The 15941-nt window shown below is 40.4% G+C and overlaps 2 long non-coding RNA genes across 2 annotated transcripts in view; one reads left to right on the forward strand and one right to left on the reverse strand.

The window, feature by feature from the left end:
- The first annotated feature begins 6355 nt into the window (after nucleotides 1-6355).
- Nucleotides 6356-9679, forward strand: LOC107984448 (uncharacterized). Its single transcript, XR_001749384.1, has 3 exons — nucleotides 6356-7074; nucleotides 7821-8006; nucleotides 8936-9679. It is a non-coding gene; the product is annotated as an uncharacterized LOC107984448 (long non-coding RNA).
- A 4725-nt stretch (nucleotides 9680-14404) lies between these two features.
- LINC02825 (long intergenic non-protein coding RNA 2825) overlaps nucleotides 14405-15941 on the reverse strand; it is a 48536-nt gene continuing 46999 nt past the window's right edge. The window contains exon 4 of the long non-coding RNA NR_147498.1: nucleotides 14405-15308. This is a non-coding gene — a long non-coding RNA (long intergenic non-protein coding RNA 2825). The remainder of the gene's footprint in view (nucleotides 15309-15941) is intronic.

Raw genomic sequence — 15941 nt, forward strand, 5'->3', positions numbered from 1 at the left:
GTCCTGCCCAAGAGGACAGCATGCCTGGGTAAAAAAGACACCAACTATTTTGCTGGTGGCAGAAGCTAAGGGGGCTAGATGTAGATCACAAAGGAAAGAAATTCATTTCTTTCTTTCACAGATAAATTGTGTTTCACCAAGAAAACACAATTTGTGTGATTTATACAAATGGTAGATCACAATTTACCTGTTCCAAGAAAATTTGGCTGGATGGCCGAGAAGGGGCAGAGCTTCATGACAGATAATCTAGGTAAGAATGATCCAGACCGAGTGCGGTGGCTCACGCCTGTAATTCCAGCACTATGGGAGGCAGAGGTGGGCAGTTCACCTGAGGTCAGGAGTTTGAGACCAGCCTGGCCAACATGGGGAAACCCTGCCTCTACTAAAAATACAAAAATTAGCTGGGTGTGGTGGTGGGATCCTGTAATCCCAGCTGAGGCTCCCGAGGCTGAGGCAGGAGAAACGCTTGAACCCAGGGGATGGAGGTTGCAGTGAGCTGAGATCACACTATTGCACTCTAGCCTGGGTGAAAGAATGAAACTCCTTCTCGAAAAAAAAAAAAAAAGAAAGAAAAAGAAAAAAAAGGAATGATCCAAACTAAGTTAGGTGGTGTCCTGCAGTAGAGAGAATGTTCACTCCAGCACACATTCAAGAAAGAGTTAGGAATAAACATCATCCTGCATTCAACCTTAAGAATCCCCTTCTCCATTAAGATTTCCAGGGGGTTCCCATCTTCCTCCTGTTTCCTGCATTTTGAGTGTGAAATATTTTATTTATTAAAATTAACAATTGAATTTTAATATTTAGTATACTTCATTGAGCCTGAAATGCCAACTATAAATTACAATATTAGTTTTATGGACTACAAAGAATGAATACTGTCAATTCTCATTCAGATGCCATTCAAACATAAGATGGTTTGCAATTTCTGTGATCTTAAGGTGTGACAAAACATGAATTTTAGAATGACTGAAATATGTTGTTACTTTGATTTTTATGTTTACCTGATTTCTGTCTCCAGCAAATCTATGAGTTACTTGAGAACATGGACCTTGATTTATATTGCTGTAAACTTATAGAATAGGTAGTAAACTCATGGATAACAGATTATTTGAACTATAAGTCAGACCACTTGAAAGGAATATCAAATGTTTTAACATGTCATGAGTCACTCTCACCATTTTAATATGAAAATATAAATTTTTAAAAAGAAAACCTGAAAAGGAAAAACATGGCAAGGATAATTGCTTTAAAAACATCAAAGATGGGCAATTACAAATGTACAGATTCAAATAACCCAATACGGCTTGTTAGATAAACAATTCCCTAACAATTTCCCATGGTATTTGTCATGGTTCTCTAGAGAAGCAGAACCAATAGGGTGTGTGTGTGTGTGTGTGTATACAATCTGCCCTCTGCAAGCTGGAGACCCAAGAAAGCTGGGGGTACAGTTTGAATCCCTGAGAGCCTGAAGCCGATTGTGTAGATTGAAGTCTGAGTCTGGAGGTCTGGGAACCACGAGCATAGAGGGCAGAAGATTAATGCCCCACCTTAAGCATCAGGTGAAGTTAATTCAATTTTCCTCTGCCTTTTTTCCAATGTAGGCCCTCTGTGTATTGGACCGTGTCCACCTACCATGAGGAGGATGTCTGCTTTACTTAGTTCACAGATTCACATTCTAGTTTCTTCTAGAAACACCCTTACCAACACACGAAGCATAATGCTTAACCAATGCATTAGTCCATTCTCACACTGCTGTAAAGAAATACCTGAGACTGGGTTATTTATAAAGAAAAATGGTTTAATTGGCTCACAGTTCCACAGGTTGTACAGGAAGCATGGCGGCGTCTGGGGAGGCCTCAGGAAACTTCCAATCATGGTGAAGGCGAAGGGGAAGCAGGGACATCTTGCATGACCAGAGTGGGAGGAAGAGCGAGATGGGGGAGGTGCCACACACTTTGAAACAACCAAATCTGGTGAGAAGTCACTCACTAGACAGTACCAATGGGGGATGGTGTTAAACCATTCATGAAAACTCCACCCTCATGAGCCAATCACCTCCCATCAGGTCCTGCCTCCCACATTGGGAATAGTAATTCAACGTGAGATTTGGGTGGAGACACAGATCCAAACCATACCAACCTGCTATCTGGGCATCTCATGGCCCAACCAGGTTGACACATAAAAGCAACCATCACTCACATTTCTCTACTCAGAGATAAGCATTTTCTACTCTTTTAAGCTATTTTGTTTTTAAAGTGATTTCTACATCGTAATATATTTTGATTATATCCCTAGGTCTTCATCTCTTCTTTAATATTTTCTTCTCTCTACATGGCCTCTAATTTCTAATAAGGGGATCCTTTTACCTCTCCACTTCAAATGATTTCTGTAGACCTCAATCTTCTTTGCAGTACTAGCTCAGCAACTATGTTAAACACACTCTCACTCACTCACCTCATAGAAAATGATACATCTGCCAAATGATGGGTTTTTGGTATGTTTTACAAGTTTTACACTAAATAAGCTCAAAATGTGTTGGGCAAGTTAAAAAGAAACATTACAGGGAAAGTTTCTACCCCTCCCTTTCTCTGCTTTGCAGTGTTTGGTCTATGGGAGAGAGAAGAAAAGAGAAAGAGAGAACGAAAAGGGGGAATGGTACTCTAAAATATGATGAATTCACCCTTGTGGATGATAAGCCAGCCATCTTTTAAAATTATAATCCTCTATTTGCATTTTCTAAAGACATATATTATTTCACTCCAACAACTTTACCCTTTCTCCAAAGCTATAACCTCACTTTTATTTTCCTAAAAGTTGCCTTTTATACTTTCTTAGAAACTCAAATTTTATCTTAAGTTTACAGTGATTGCTATCTTGTTCCCTGAAAAATGAGGGTTAAGGGGAAAAAAAAAACGGATGACTGAGCTCACGAGATCTTACACAAAGAGATTAATTGCTACCACTCTAAGGACTTGGGTAGAGTATGAGATGAGTAATCCGCAGAAGGCGGAGGAAACCAGAGCTGGCAGTGTTTCAACGGTCGAACATCTGGGCATTTGTAAATATTCTCGCACTGGAATGGTAAATTGGGAGCAACCATCTGGATGTTAGGCTAAAATTTTCATTTTTTTAAGATGGATTTTTAAGACCGCTATATAAAACCTTCCAGCTTTTCTCTTCATTCTTCTAGTTTTTAGTAGCAGCAGGGCATGTTGCAATAAATTCCACAATATTTTAACAATGAGATAGTGGGTCTCTCTTTATCCCACAACTGCCTGTAGCTTATGATTACACAAGTCTTTACTGGATTTAAACTTTGATATGCTCCTGTCCCCCAGGCTGAATTTTCTTTTGAAGTTTCCATGCAGTTAATACTGATCTTGTTCTTAAAAACGTGTCTGGGATTCACCTTCTAGATGGTGTCTCTACCACAGACAATCTTTTGGTAAGATTCCAATTCCTGTCTGTTGCTTCTGTTCCTAGATGTTTTTTGTTTTGTGTGTGTGTGTGTGTGTGTGTGTGTGTTTTAATTTATGAAGTTGTTCTGAAATGTCTTTAGACCCTTAATGCCATCAGCATCTTTAAGGAGATTCTAAACACATCTTTCTCTAAACTTTTAGGAGGGATGCTGTGGTGACCCCAATGCCACGATGGGTGTAATCCGGTCCAAAATAATTCAACCATCAAAAACTGTGGGTTTAAGTTTCTTAGCACATTTAGTTTACTTGCAGTCTCTGGGGGGAGGTGTGTATTTTTGTCCCACAAAGCCTGCTCTGAGGAGGAAAGGAATGTTTTCCTTTTAGTGTTTGCTGCCTCACCCTGGGTCTTATTTGTGACTTTCTGAGCAGGCTGAAATGCGTGGGTGAGTCCAACTGAATGTCTTTCTTCATGACAGCCACCGACAAGGTGAATGGAAAAGAAAATGGAAAAGAGAGAGGGTATATTAGTCTGTTTTCACGCTGCTGGTAAAGACATACCAGAGACTGGGTAATTTATAAAGTAAAAGAGTTTTAACGGATTCACAGTTCCATGTGGCTGGGGACGTCTCACAGTCATGGTGGAAGGAGAAAGGCACTTCTTACATGGCTGTGGCAAGACAGAATCAGACAGCCAAACAAACGGGGTTTCCCCTTATAAAACCATCAGATCTCATGAGACTTTTTCACTATCAGGAGAACAGTATGAGGGAAACCACCCCCAAGTTTCAATTATCTCCCACCTGGTCCCTCTTACAACATGTGGGAATTATGGGAGCTATAATTCGAGGTGAGATTCGGGTGGGGACACAGCCAAACCATATCAGAGGGAGAGAGAGACACACACACAGATTGTCTTCAGGAAGTCACCCTATGTAGTCTAAAAAGGGGAGGCATGAATAATCCAACACTTGTTTAGCAAATTATCAATAAATAACCATAAAAATGGGCAACCAGCAGCCCTTGGGGCTGCTGTGTTGCTGCAGGGTCTGTGGAATAGCCATCCTTTTATTCCTTTACTTTCTTAATAAACTTGCTTTCACTTTATGAACTTGACCTGAATTATTTCTTGCTTGAGATCCAGGAAGCCTCTCTTGGGGTCTGGATCCAGACCCCTTTCCAGTAACACTAAGAACTCGCTCATCCTCTCTTGGCAGGTCCTGGCCAGGTGGTCCTGAGGATCCTGCCAGGAAGAGATGGCTGCTCCTTGGCCACTCTTGCTTTATTACTGGCCTTGGGACATCGTCAGAATGGACATATTTTGACATCCTCGGTATGTGAACATACTGAGGAATGAATCAGCAACATTTATGTCATCAACTGGGCCACGGCTTCCAAAAGATCAGAGCCCTTTGCATTGGCAAATACACCCTATCTCATTGATCTGTGATAATTCATGGGAAAACACACAGCTCTCTGCACATCATCTGTCCTATTTTTTCCTGTCTCAATCTTGGAACTCTAAACAAAAAGCTGCCCAGTTATGATGACCGTGAATGGCCCACAACTAAATTACAGGGCATGAGGTTATCAGAAAGGACAATGTTTTAAGCAGGCCATGTCATGATTGCGTGTGAGATTGGAGATGAACTGCTGCAAACTCAGTCCTGGTTCAAATCAGTAATCATTACATTAGCTTTACACATTTTGAGATATTAAAACACATATCAATGGGCAGAGAAAAACATTAAATTTGCCAAATTTGTAGTTTGACGAATTGGCTTCAGATCCCTACAAAAAGAAAAAGAAAAGCCTTCTGGCATTATATTTTCATAATTGATTTTATTTTTATTTTTAGATGAAGTCTTCCTCTGTCACCCGGGCTGGAGTGCAGTGGCACAATCTCAGCTCACTGCAACCTCCGCCTCCTGGGTTCAAGTGATTTTCCCGCCTCAGCCTCCTGAGTATCTGGAATTACAGGCATGAGCCATCTTGCCTAGCTAATTTTTGTATTTTTAGTAGAGACAGGGTTTTGCCATGTTGGCCAGGCTGGTCTTAAACTTCTGACTTCAAACAATTCACCTGCCTCAGCCTCCCAAAGTGCTGGGATTACAGGCGTGAGCCACCAAGCCTGGCCTAATATTTATTTTTATCCTTCAGTTGATTATAATGAATCTTTACCTTTAATTTGAAGTGAGAATATGCTGAAAATATATAGATATCATCTTTATTGTATTGAACCAACTAATTATTTTTAAAGCAGGATTTATACTTTAGAAAAAGAGTATCCATGTTCTTTTCTTAAATTAACCAAGTCCTTGATACAAATACTCTCCAAACTCTAACTTCATGCATAGTACTCTACTGAGAATTTTGGTAGATTAGTTCTTGATCTTCAGAAAGTCGTAGTACATTTGTATGTTTATATATATATATATATTTTATAAATACATAATGTGTGTATATATAAATGAACACTTGCAAATATATAGTATATAAATGTAAAATACTTATAACATGTACTTAGAATAATAGAGCAATTAGAAATATTATTATTTGAATATTATTAACGTGCTAATTTTTAATAATATAATAATAATTGAGGAACAATTAAGTACCAGGTATTGTGCTAATTGTTTAATATGCATTATCTAATTTATTCCATCCAGCAATTATTCCGTCCAGCAATAATTATTAATTATTACTATTAAAAATAGATGTAGTTATTATACATCTATTTTAATAGTTATTGGACTGAATAAATGCGATGTATGCCTGGATGTATAAACAGCTACAAACACAGAAGAGTTCATGCACAGAAGCCTAGGTTATTGTTATACCTATTTTACAAATGAGAAAAAAAGAAAAGTTGATTTGTCTGAGGTCGTACAACTAGTATGCAGCAGCTGCCAGAATGAAATCCAGTTCCCTCTGACTCTGAAGCTGTGCTCCTCACCAGGGTAGAGAGAATTAGAACAGTCCATTCCCCAGAGCAGAAACTGTGGGTAGGCGCCAGGAGGGCCACTTGAAGTGGCGTCTGTCATTCAAGAAGGATCTTGAAGACGACTCACAGCATTATCTGCCAGGGAGACCGTGTCCCCAGAAGGATGGAAAAAAGACAGCTGGCAGCCATAAACCAACCTTAAAACACACACATAGGACCTGGCAACAAAATCTGCAGTGCACTGCGAGTCACTGTGTCTTAAGGGGTATAATTACATGTTGCTAGCACAAGTACGTACACATACATTCATCTATTTAAAGTATTAATTTAGAGATTGTAAGCATTTGAAATACACGACAGTTTCTGTAATCCTATATTAGCATTTCGCCATTAAAAAAAAACCCAGCTTATCAGGTCAAGAAATAGAATCATCTGGGCCTTCACCCACCTCTGATGGCCTGATCCATGAGTAAGCTGCTGATGCTGGGACGGAAATTGCATGTAAATGATGGGGACGTTGGTGCTGGGGAAGTGCAGTGAAACTGGACATGTTCAGCATTTGTTCGTCCAAATATAATTGCAGATGTGTAACCACCTACAAGCACAGGAGAGTCCATGCACAGAAGCCCAGATCCCCAGCAGCCTCATCTTCCCTTGAGCAAAACTTTTCTTCTCCATCATGAGATGAAGGAACCCCAACCCCTCCATCAGGTAGAGAGGATGCTGGGGAAGAAAGGGGCCCTCTGCCTGCACAGGTCATCGAGCAGCAGCCGACAGGGAGAGGTCACTGGGCAGGCAGAGTGGCCACACCCATATCCCCAGTTCAGCAGCAGTGTCCTGAAGATCCCACAATCCAAGTGGCAGGTGGAGGTGGAGCTGCCCAGCCCTGTGGCTCAGAGATGGCCGGCAGACACCCGCCCAGGGACACAGCTCAAGATAACCCTCAGACTTGACAGATAGTGCTGGTCTCAGCCACACAGTTATTCCATTGAGCCCTTTAATATCTTTCACTTCAGGAATCAAAACATTTAGTGCGCTCCATTTTAATCAGAGATGGGGCTGTGCCTCCTATTTGGATGCTATTTCAAAATAAATAAAATATTGCCCACAGCAGGTTTGACACATAGTTCAAAAATTGACTGCTGAATGGTGATATTGTTTTTATGTGTTTTTAAAAGGATGGTGTTTTTCAGGTTTAAAACATTAATTGGTCAGAGTGTATATCTTAGCTTCTGAACATGAAACACTGTTTGATGTAGCGATTGAAGCGTTAAAGCAATTTCTCCTGAAACTCTATAGATCTCAGTTCCTGTTCAGTGTTTCTCTAAACAAAATATTAGAAGGCAAATGTTCTATCTTCTAAGGTGGAATATTAGTTTTAGTGTCAGGTATTTTCTAAATGAAGTGTTTGCTACTTTCTCTGAGGTTTAAGTAAATGCTTTTTCTTTGATACGTAGGTACTTTGAAGATGTTTCCACTTCCCTTCGAAGATGTTCAATGTCCGTACATAGAATGAAAGGTGCCACCTTCTCCAGCATGAGACATATCCCCATGTGATCCCTTACCACGCAGACTCCTGGCTGAGTTAGGAAGAAAGAATAGAAGTCAATGCATTCCATTTGTTTTCAAGGCACACCCAAAAAGTATGAACTTAGATATATCACAGAGCTTCCAATTTACCTGCCTGTATTTACAAAATAAGTGTATGATTTCTCCCGAAACATTATTTTTTGCAAGTTACATGCCAATAACCACCACTGAACATAAGCTGATATTTTTGCTGAATGAAGGATTGTGAATTATCCTTGTAGCTTTCTTTGACTTCATTACACATTTCAATTACTTCTCTAAACACTGACTGCCGCCATAAAATATCTTTAGTTCTTTTCCCCTATGAAATGTGCTGCCAATAATAATATTTTACTAGAAAATAATGCAATAAATTAGCATGATCACAACCTAGAATTATATAAAATAATATTTGCTTTGTATTCAAGTGAACCTTTCCATGGACAGAAACAAGCACCTTGTCATATTTTAAGTAAACATTAATTATGAAAAACAAATTATTTGCAAGGAGGCAATACAAAAGTGGACGCTGGAGTTCTATGTTAGAGTAAATATCTGACAGATTTAATATGGAACTTTCTTTTAAAGTCTTAAGTTTTCAGTGCTCTTATTGGCAAATGATGTATTAGACCTAGTAACGTAAAACACAATGAAATAGATTGTATCTACTGGAAACATTAGTACTCATTAGATCTGATAACTGTGAGTCTAAATGTGAAATCTCTACTTTATGAATTATCACAGATGGTATTGTAGATGATGTCTTCACGCTCTTTTGCCAAATAAACTCCTTATTAAAGGAGGCCCTGAGGATGATTAAAACAAAATTTAGGGCAATGGTTGCATTAGAGGAAAGCAAAGGAGGAGAAAATTAGAGAAGTGCGCCCAGGAGGCATGAGCAGTATTCGTAATGTTTTATTTCCAAATTATACCTTATGTGCACCACCATTTGCTATACTATTCTTGATATCTATAACAAGATATTATGTGCGGATTCTTTCAGGACTCAGAAAACGATGGATGGCAAGTACTCCCCCTTTCCAAAGTGAGGTGCTGACCACTGGTAATGCAGTAAATCTTGAGGGTATCAAAGGATTGAAATGGAAGAGCCCTGAAAATTGGACATTAAAAAGGCATTAATTTCAAGAGCATTTTCTCTGTCCTGTAATTTCCCCTCCAGTATGAGATTGTGGTGGGAAGATGCACCTCTCCACTTCACCAGGTGTGAGATGAATTTTGTTTCAGTTTGATGTCACTCAGAAATAGATCCCGAGACAAGGTTTCAAGTTCTCAGGGTTTATGTGGAAGATAATCCAGAAAGCACTAGTGGAGAAGTGGGAAAGTGATACAGGAAAGAGAACCAACAAAGGATGTGTTACCCCACTGATGTCAACTGGAGTAGGATCCCACTAGGATACGCATGGTCCTGGGTTCTCATCTTGGGCAGAACAAAGGTAAGAGGACAACCTGGGCCTTTAGATATGTGATATGGGAGAGACATGACATCTGAAATGCAGATACCAAAGAAATCAGGGAAACGTAAATCCCTCACGATTTTACAACTAACTTAGGGAGGGCACTGGCCATCCCCATCACAACCATATAGTAATGGCAAACACAGTGACACAGGTCAAGAGATACATGGTCAACACATTATTATTATTTTATTTTTTAACATTAATATGTGATACTTGCAGATATTCTTTTATTTGGAATATCTCCATCTCATTAATTCAACATTATCCAGGGTCAATAATTTTTTTAATTGCTAAATTCACAGTGTTGTAAAATTACCACCTCTATCTAGTTCCAAAATATTTTTATCACCCAGCTGGACATGGTGGCTCACGCCTGTAATCCCAGCAATTTGGGAGGCCGAGGTGAGTGAATCACCTGAGGTCAGGAGTTTGAGACCAGCCTGGCCAAAATGGTGAAACCCCGTCTCTACTAAAAATGCAAAAATTAGCTGTGCGTGGTGATGTGCACCTGTAATCTCAGATACTTGGGAGGCTGAGGCAGAAGACTTGCTTGAACCTGGGAGGCAAAGGTTGCAGTGAGCTGAGATCATGCCACTGCATTTCAGGCTGGATGACAGAGCAAGACTCTGTCTCAAAAAAAAAAAAAATTCATCATCCAAAAGGAAACCCTGATAATAGCCATTCTCCAACAAGCAGCTACTCCCTAATGACCTCTCCCCATGGCCCCTGATAATTAGGAATCTGCCTTTTTTTCTCCACAGATCTACCTATTCTGGATGTTTCATATAAATAGAACCATAAATATTGTGACATTTGGTGTCTGGGTTCTGTATCTTAGCATAAAAATATATTTTAAGGCAAACAAAAAATTGTTACTACTCAACAAGACAAATAACACAATTAAAAAGTGGGCAAAAGACTTGAACAGATGTTTCTCCAAACAAAATGGCCAATGAGCACAGAATAACGTTCAATATCTTTAGTCCTTAGGGAAATGCAAATCAAGACCAGTGATTATTGGAATAAAGTGAATCATTGTGCTTAAAGGTTTGATTTACAGGCCGGGTGCAGTGGCTCACGCCTGTAATTCCAGCACTTTGGGGGCCGAGGCAGAGGGATCACGAAGTCAGGAGATCGAGACCATCCTGGCTAACATGGTGAAACCCCGTCTCTACTAAAAATACAAAAAAAAAAAAAAAAAATAGCCAGGCGTGGTTGTGGGTGCCTGCCTGTAGTCCCAGCTACTCAGGAGGCTGAGGCAGGAGAATGGTGTGAACCCAGGAGGCGGAGCTTGCAGTGAGCCGATTTCGAGCCACTGCACTCCAGCCTTGGCGAAGAGCGAGACTCTGTCTCAAAGAAAAAAAAAAAAGTTTGGATTACAAATCTGGGTAAATAATGACCCTTTGTTTCTGGATAGTTGTGTCATGATTGCTTGGGCAGAGTTGAGAGACAGATCTCCAAGACGTGGTCCAGTAGAATGCAGAGAGTTTGGAAATGAATTAATAGGGTTTCATTGTGTAAGAACTCCCCCTCCTTACCCAGTCATTTTCACACACTCTCAGAGTGGCTACCACTAGGCCATACTCCCCCATTCAAAAATGATGTAATTTAGGAAACCAGCTAAGTACAACTCATCCCAGTTATTGAAAAAGCTTTTTTCAAACTGTGAAATTGCAAGCAAGGAGGAAGTCAAACATGAAAGATGATGCATCACAGAACAAAAGAAGCAGCTGCAAACGTTCTAAGCCCTGGCTCCCATGTGACTTTCCTGTCAACTCTGCTTTCTTAAATGGCCAGAAAAGCTACTTCGTGGGGAAAAATTTATTTTCTGCAAATAATTTCATGCTTCTATGTGATTTGTATTACTTTTTATTTTCATTATCAATGCAACATTTGTTTTTTCCATATTATTAATACTTATGTCTCTAAATTAAGAAAAATGATTTTGAAAATTAGAGGCAATATCCAGTGCAATATAGCACCATTTAAATGAGCATGAAATCATTCTTGTAAACAAAAATATCTGTCACTAGGTAACTGAATTGTTCATCTATCACCCACATGTGATGCAGGCTCTGTTTATGCCTATTGTGCCCGCTAATTATAGCATTCTCCTGTCACTCTTAGAAATGCCCTAATGTGGATAATACATTATTTTACCATTCTAATTAGAAGCTTCTTTCAGGTCCTTTACTTATTTGGTGTATTAATAAATCACTTAATTTAAGATGCTTTTCAGAGTCCTGTTGGCTGAAGATGATAAGGACTGCATCTCTGGCCACATGCCCATGTTCTCATGGATTTGTGCTTGGGTGTAGAAGGGAGATGGGGTGAGGCTGGGATGGTGGTGCAGGGGGGGCAGCACCCTTTAGGTCTGCGATTCACACATGGGGCTAAGTGCTGGGGTGACTTCAAGCTGGCCAGACCACTGTGCTTAGAGTCCTGGAAACACGAACCTTATGTTTATGTTTGTGTCACTGTACGTGCATAGAGTTTCCCATTTTTCTTAAAGAAAACAAACAATAGCAACAAAAATGAATACTTTTGTTCTTTAAAACCTGGGCATGCTGTTTGCTACCCCTGCAAAGTAATATATATCTTCGAGGATTTAGTGTTGAGATTCTACTACCTCCTTTGCCACAAAATGAAGGAAATCTCCTGGGCATTACAATTGAAGCCTGTTTAGAGCAGTTAAACTGCTTCCTGAAAGCCCAGGGTCCCCCATCTCCACCTGTCTTTAAGGCAGAGGAAGCCCCTGTAAGAGTTAAAGAAAAATGAAATTAACATGAAACGCGGCCTGGCAGTTAAAGACAGGTTTACTTTAGATAAAACCTGAGAGGGGCCTCTGGCTGATTTCAGTCAGGAGTGCTTTGTCTTACAGACTACATATTGGTTTTAGGATGAGGGGCTTATTACAAGCTTGGAATGTTCCTGTGCAAGGGAGAAGTTTTATGGCAGAGTTGAAATGTCTCTGGGAGGAGGCGAGTTTGTCTAGGGCAGACATCTTTCTGGCAGGAGGGGGCTTATTTTGGGGCTGGCATCTTCCTGGTCAGAGAGGACTTATCTTGGGGCTAGCATGTCTTTGTTTGCGGGGGGCATTTGGAATGTTTCTGGTCAGAGATGTTATTTGTGGTTTATGGTCATGCTGACCGTAGCCATTAGGCTGATGCCTTTTGGATTTAGGTGTTTTTTTATTAAGGTGAACTTTAGAATGAGGGGCTTGTCCAAGATGGCGATGCTCCCACTCTGTCAGCCCCTAACCCTGCAGAGGCCCCAGAAGAAGCAGATCTGCCTCTGTTGCCTCTGAGAGTGGAATGCCCTGCCTCGAGCACCACTCACCTGGGCAGGTCACATCAGAGCCACTTCCCTCTAGGCCTCTTGAGGGTCACGGAGTCTGTGTTCCATGCCTGCTGCTCATAGGAGGTGGAGGACTCAACATAGCTGATGTTCTGGAGGGTCAACCATGGAGGAACATGAGCAAGAAGGGAAAGAACAGCATCTGAAAGTGGGCCAGTCTATCTGCTCTGACTTTTGTCCCTTCCTATTCATTCCAGAGGCCTCTTAGAAAGAACCACGCAGACCCTGAAGCTCCCAGCTTAAAATCTTTTAGTGGTCTCCATCACCTTCACTCTGTGCACCAGCCCTGCCCACCTTTCCAGCCACATGCCCACCTTCTGCCCCTCATCCCTCACCCACCACACTGGCCTTTCTCCTCTTCCTTAAACACATCAGGCTTTTACCTAACCCATACCCCGCAACATGCCCTTCTCTTTGCTTGGAGAACCCTTCAATCCTCTGTCCTGTCTAACTTCTTTCACCTGGCTAACCCCTATTCATCTTTCTAGTCTCAGCTTAAGTGTTTCTTCCTTAGAGATCCCCGCCTTGACCATTCTTACCCTAAAAAGTGATCGACTTGGTTGGGAGAGCACAGAGGGTGTTTAGGCCAGTGAAACCATAATGTGTGGCACTATCATGCTATAGACATGGCACTCTACATTTGTCCCAACCTAGAATGTACAACACCAAGAGTGAACCCTAATATATAAACTGTGGACTTTGGGTGACAGTGATCTCTTACTACAGGTTCATTCATTGTAACAAGCGTACCACCCTGGTGTGGATGTTGATAGTGGGGGAGGCTGTGCATGTGTGGGGGCAGGGAGTATTAAAGAAATCTCTGTACCTTCATCTAAATTTTGCTGTGAGCCTAAAACCACTGTTAAAAAAGTTTCTATTACAATGAAATGTAAAACCAAAGCACCAACAGCAAAAAAATAAACAAAAACAAACAAACAAACAAAAAACCACTACCACCAACAACAAAAACTGGTCCAGTCTGCTGTTACTTTGTTTTGTTGGGGCGGGATGCTTTGTTATCAAATCACCCATTGCTGGGCATAGAGTAGAAACCCATGGAGTTAGGCTTCAAAAGTGGCCACAAAATTTTACCCTCACTTAGTCACACTCCTTTGCAAATGATTTTCCCCTTCCTTCTAACCAAAGAGGAAATCTATTCTTTCACATCTCCAATCTGAAGTTGGAACGGGGAATTGCTTTAATCAATAGTAATTTAGTAAATATCACTTAAATGGGGTTAAAAAAGTGCTTCCTTTTTGAAGCCTGTCCTCTCTTGCTGCTCTTGGGAAGCCTGTAATGGTCACCCCTGAACAGGCTTCAGCTAGCCTGTTGGGTGAAGGACACATGCCCTGTGATCCCCTATCACCTCTGCCCAGAGCCGGCACCCACTGCCTGACACATAACTACACTGCTGAACCCCCAGTTACTGTAAACACGTGAGTGAACCCATCTCAGCTGAAGCTAGACCAAATTCCCAACCTACAAAATTGTGAGCAATCAAATAATTCTATTTAAAGCTACTTTGTTTGCAAACAGTCTATTATGCAGGAGAACCTGACTGACATACACAATAAATATTTGTGGAATGAACGACTGAATGAATAATGGTCTCTGAACTTACAAAAAACAAGACATCTGTGTCTGTGTATTTATTTTTACACATAGAAGGCAACATAGATATTATACATATGCATTCCCTTCTGCTAAAAATTAAGAAAGTACAACTGTCTCTGTTAAAATACTCATTTTGTCAGTAGGTTTCTATGGCTATTGACTTACTAAAATTATTAGCATGGGTATTTCCAGTTGGAAAGAACCTGAAATATTGCCAATTCCAGCATTCAGAATTCACTGGTGAAGAAACTGAGGCCAAGAAAGGATTGAGGACATGTGTTAGGTCATGCAGTCATCAGCAGTCACTGGAGCTTAAATGTGGAGCCTGGAACATGCAGTCAGCAAGACTCCAAGAGTTGAGGATCTGGGTAGCTTCCCAGAGTTCCATAGGATACAATGTTAGCACAACTCACTCTTGGGGAAATGCATTTCTGGGTGACTTCAGGAAGCCTTGGAGGAAGTTTGCGTATTAAAAGGGTGAATATGGTGGAAATAATGGTGGTGGTGGTGAGGGTAGTGATGGTGACTTCGTGTATGTTCATGCTTTTACCTCGAAACTTGTGGAACCCAGTGGAGAATGTAGTATTATTCAGGAGAGAGGAAATGGACATTTCTGCTGCTGCGGGATTGCAGGCAAAGCCACTTATTCCATTTCCCTGTATTCTTATCACCTTCTACAAATGCAGAGTTGATGTCAGGTGCAGATGAATCAATATCATTGCAAGAGAATAAAAAGTATTATGACAAAAAGAAAAACAAGTGGTCGCTAGAACACAGTTGATTTCATAAGGTTTTTGCATACATGCAATATTATCAAGTCATGTAATGTCTTGTTAACTTCTTTCATCTGCCTTCATCTCATTCTCTAGAAGTTTTACCTTTGATCTCCACTTTCTTTCAGGAGAAAGAATTCTGATAACTCATGTCCTGAAAAATAAAATTACGGAAGCCTACAGTGTGAAATTGGAATTTGTCCATGTGCATAATTTCCACAAGTTCTCTACTTAGATATATATTCTGTTAATAAAAAAGATTTTTTCTGCTCTTTACCCTCTTGGTAGACTTTTACATTTCTAATTTTAATGTTTTACATAAAAAGCATAAGAGAATATGGACATGGAAAAGTCAAACTATGACTACTCAAATATCGACAAGTTTGTTTATAAGTTATCATGATTTAAAAATAAAGATTAAAAACTTTTACAATAAACCAAACATTTAATTAATATAAACTGCAGCCAACTGCTTATTTGATTCCCATCCCTCCAGAAATAGAGAGAGAGGAGGGAGTGGGAGAGAAAGGGTGAGTGAGAGATTTAAACTTGTCTTTTCAAAAACATTATCATAATTTTTATTTCAATAGTTTTTGGGGAACAGGTGGTGTTTGGTTACATGGATAAGTTCTTTAGTGGTGATTGCTGAGATTTTGGTACACCCATCACCTGAGCAGTGAACACTGGCTAGAATGTGTAGTCCTTTATCTCTCACCTCCCCCCACCCTTTCCCCAAGTTCCCAAAGTCCATTGTATCATTCTTACACCTTTGCATCCTCATAGCTTA

Source organism: Homo sapiens, chromosome 12 (genome assembly GCF_000001405.40).
Source record: "Homo sapiens chromosome 12, GRCh38.p14 Primary Assembly".
Taxonomy (NCBI): Eukaryota; Metazoa; Chordata; class Mammalia; order Primates; family Hominidae; genus Homo; species Homo sapiens.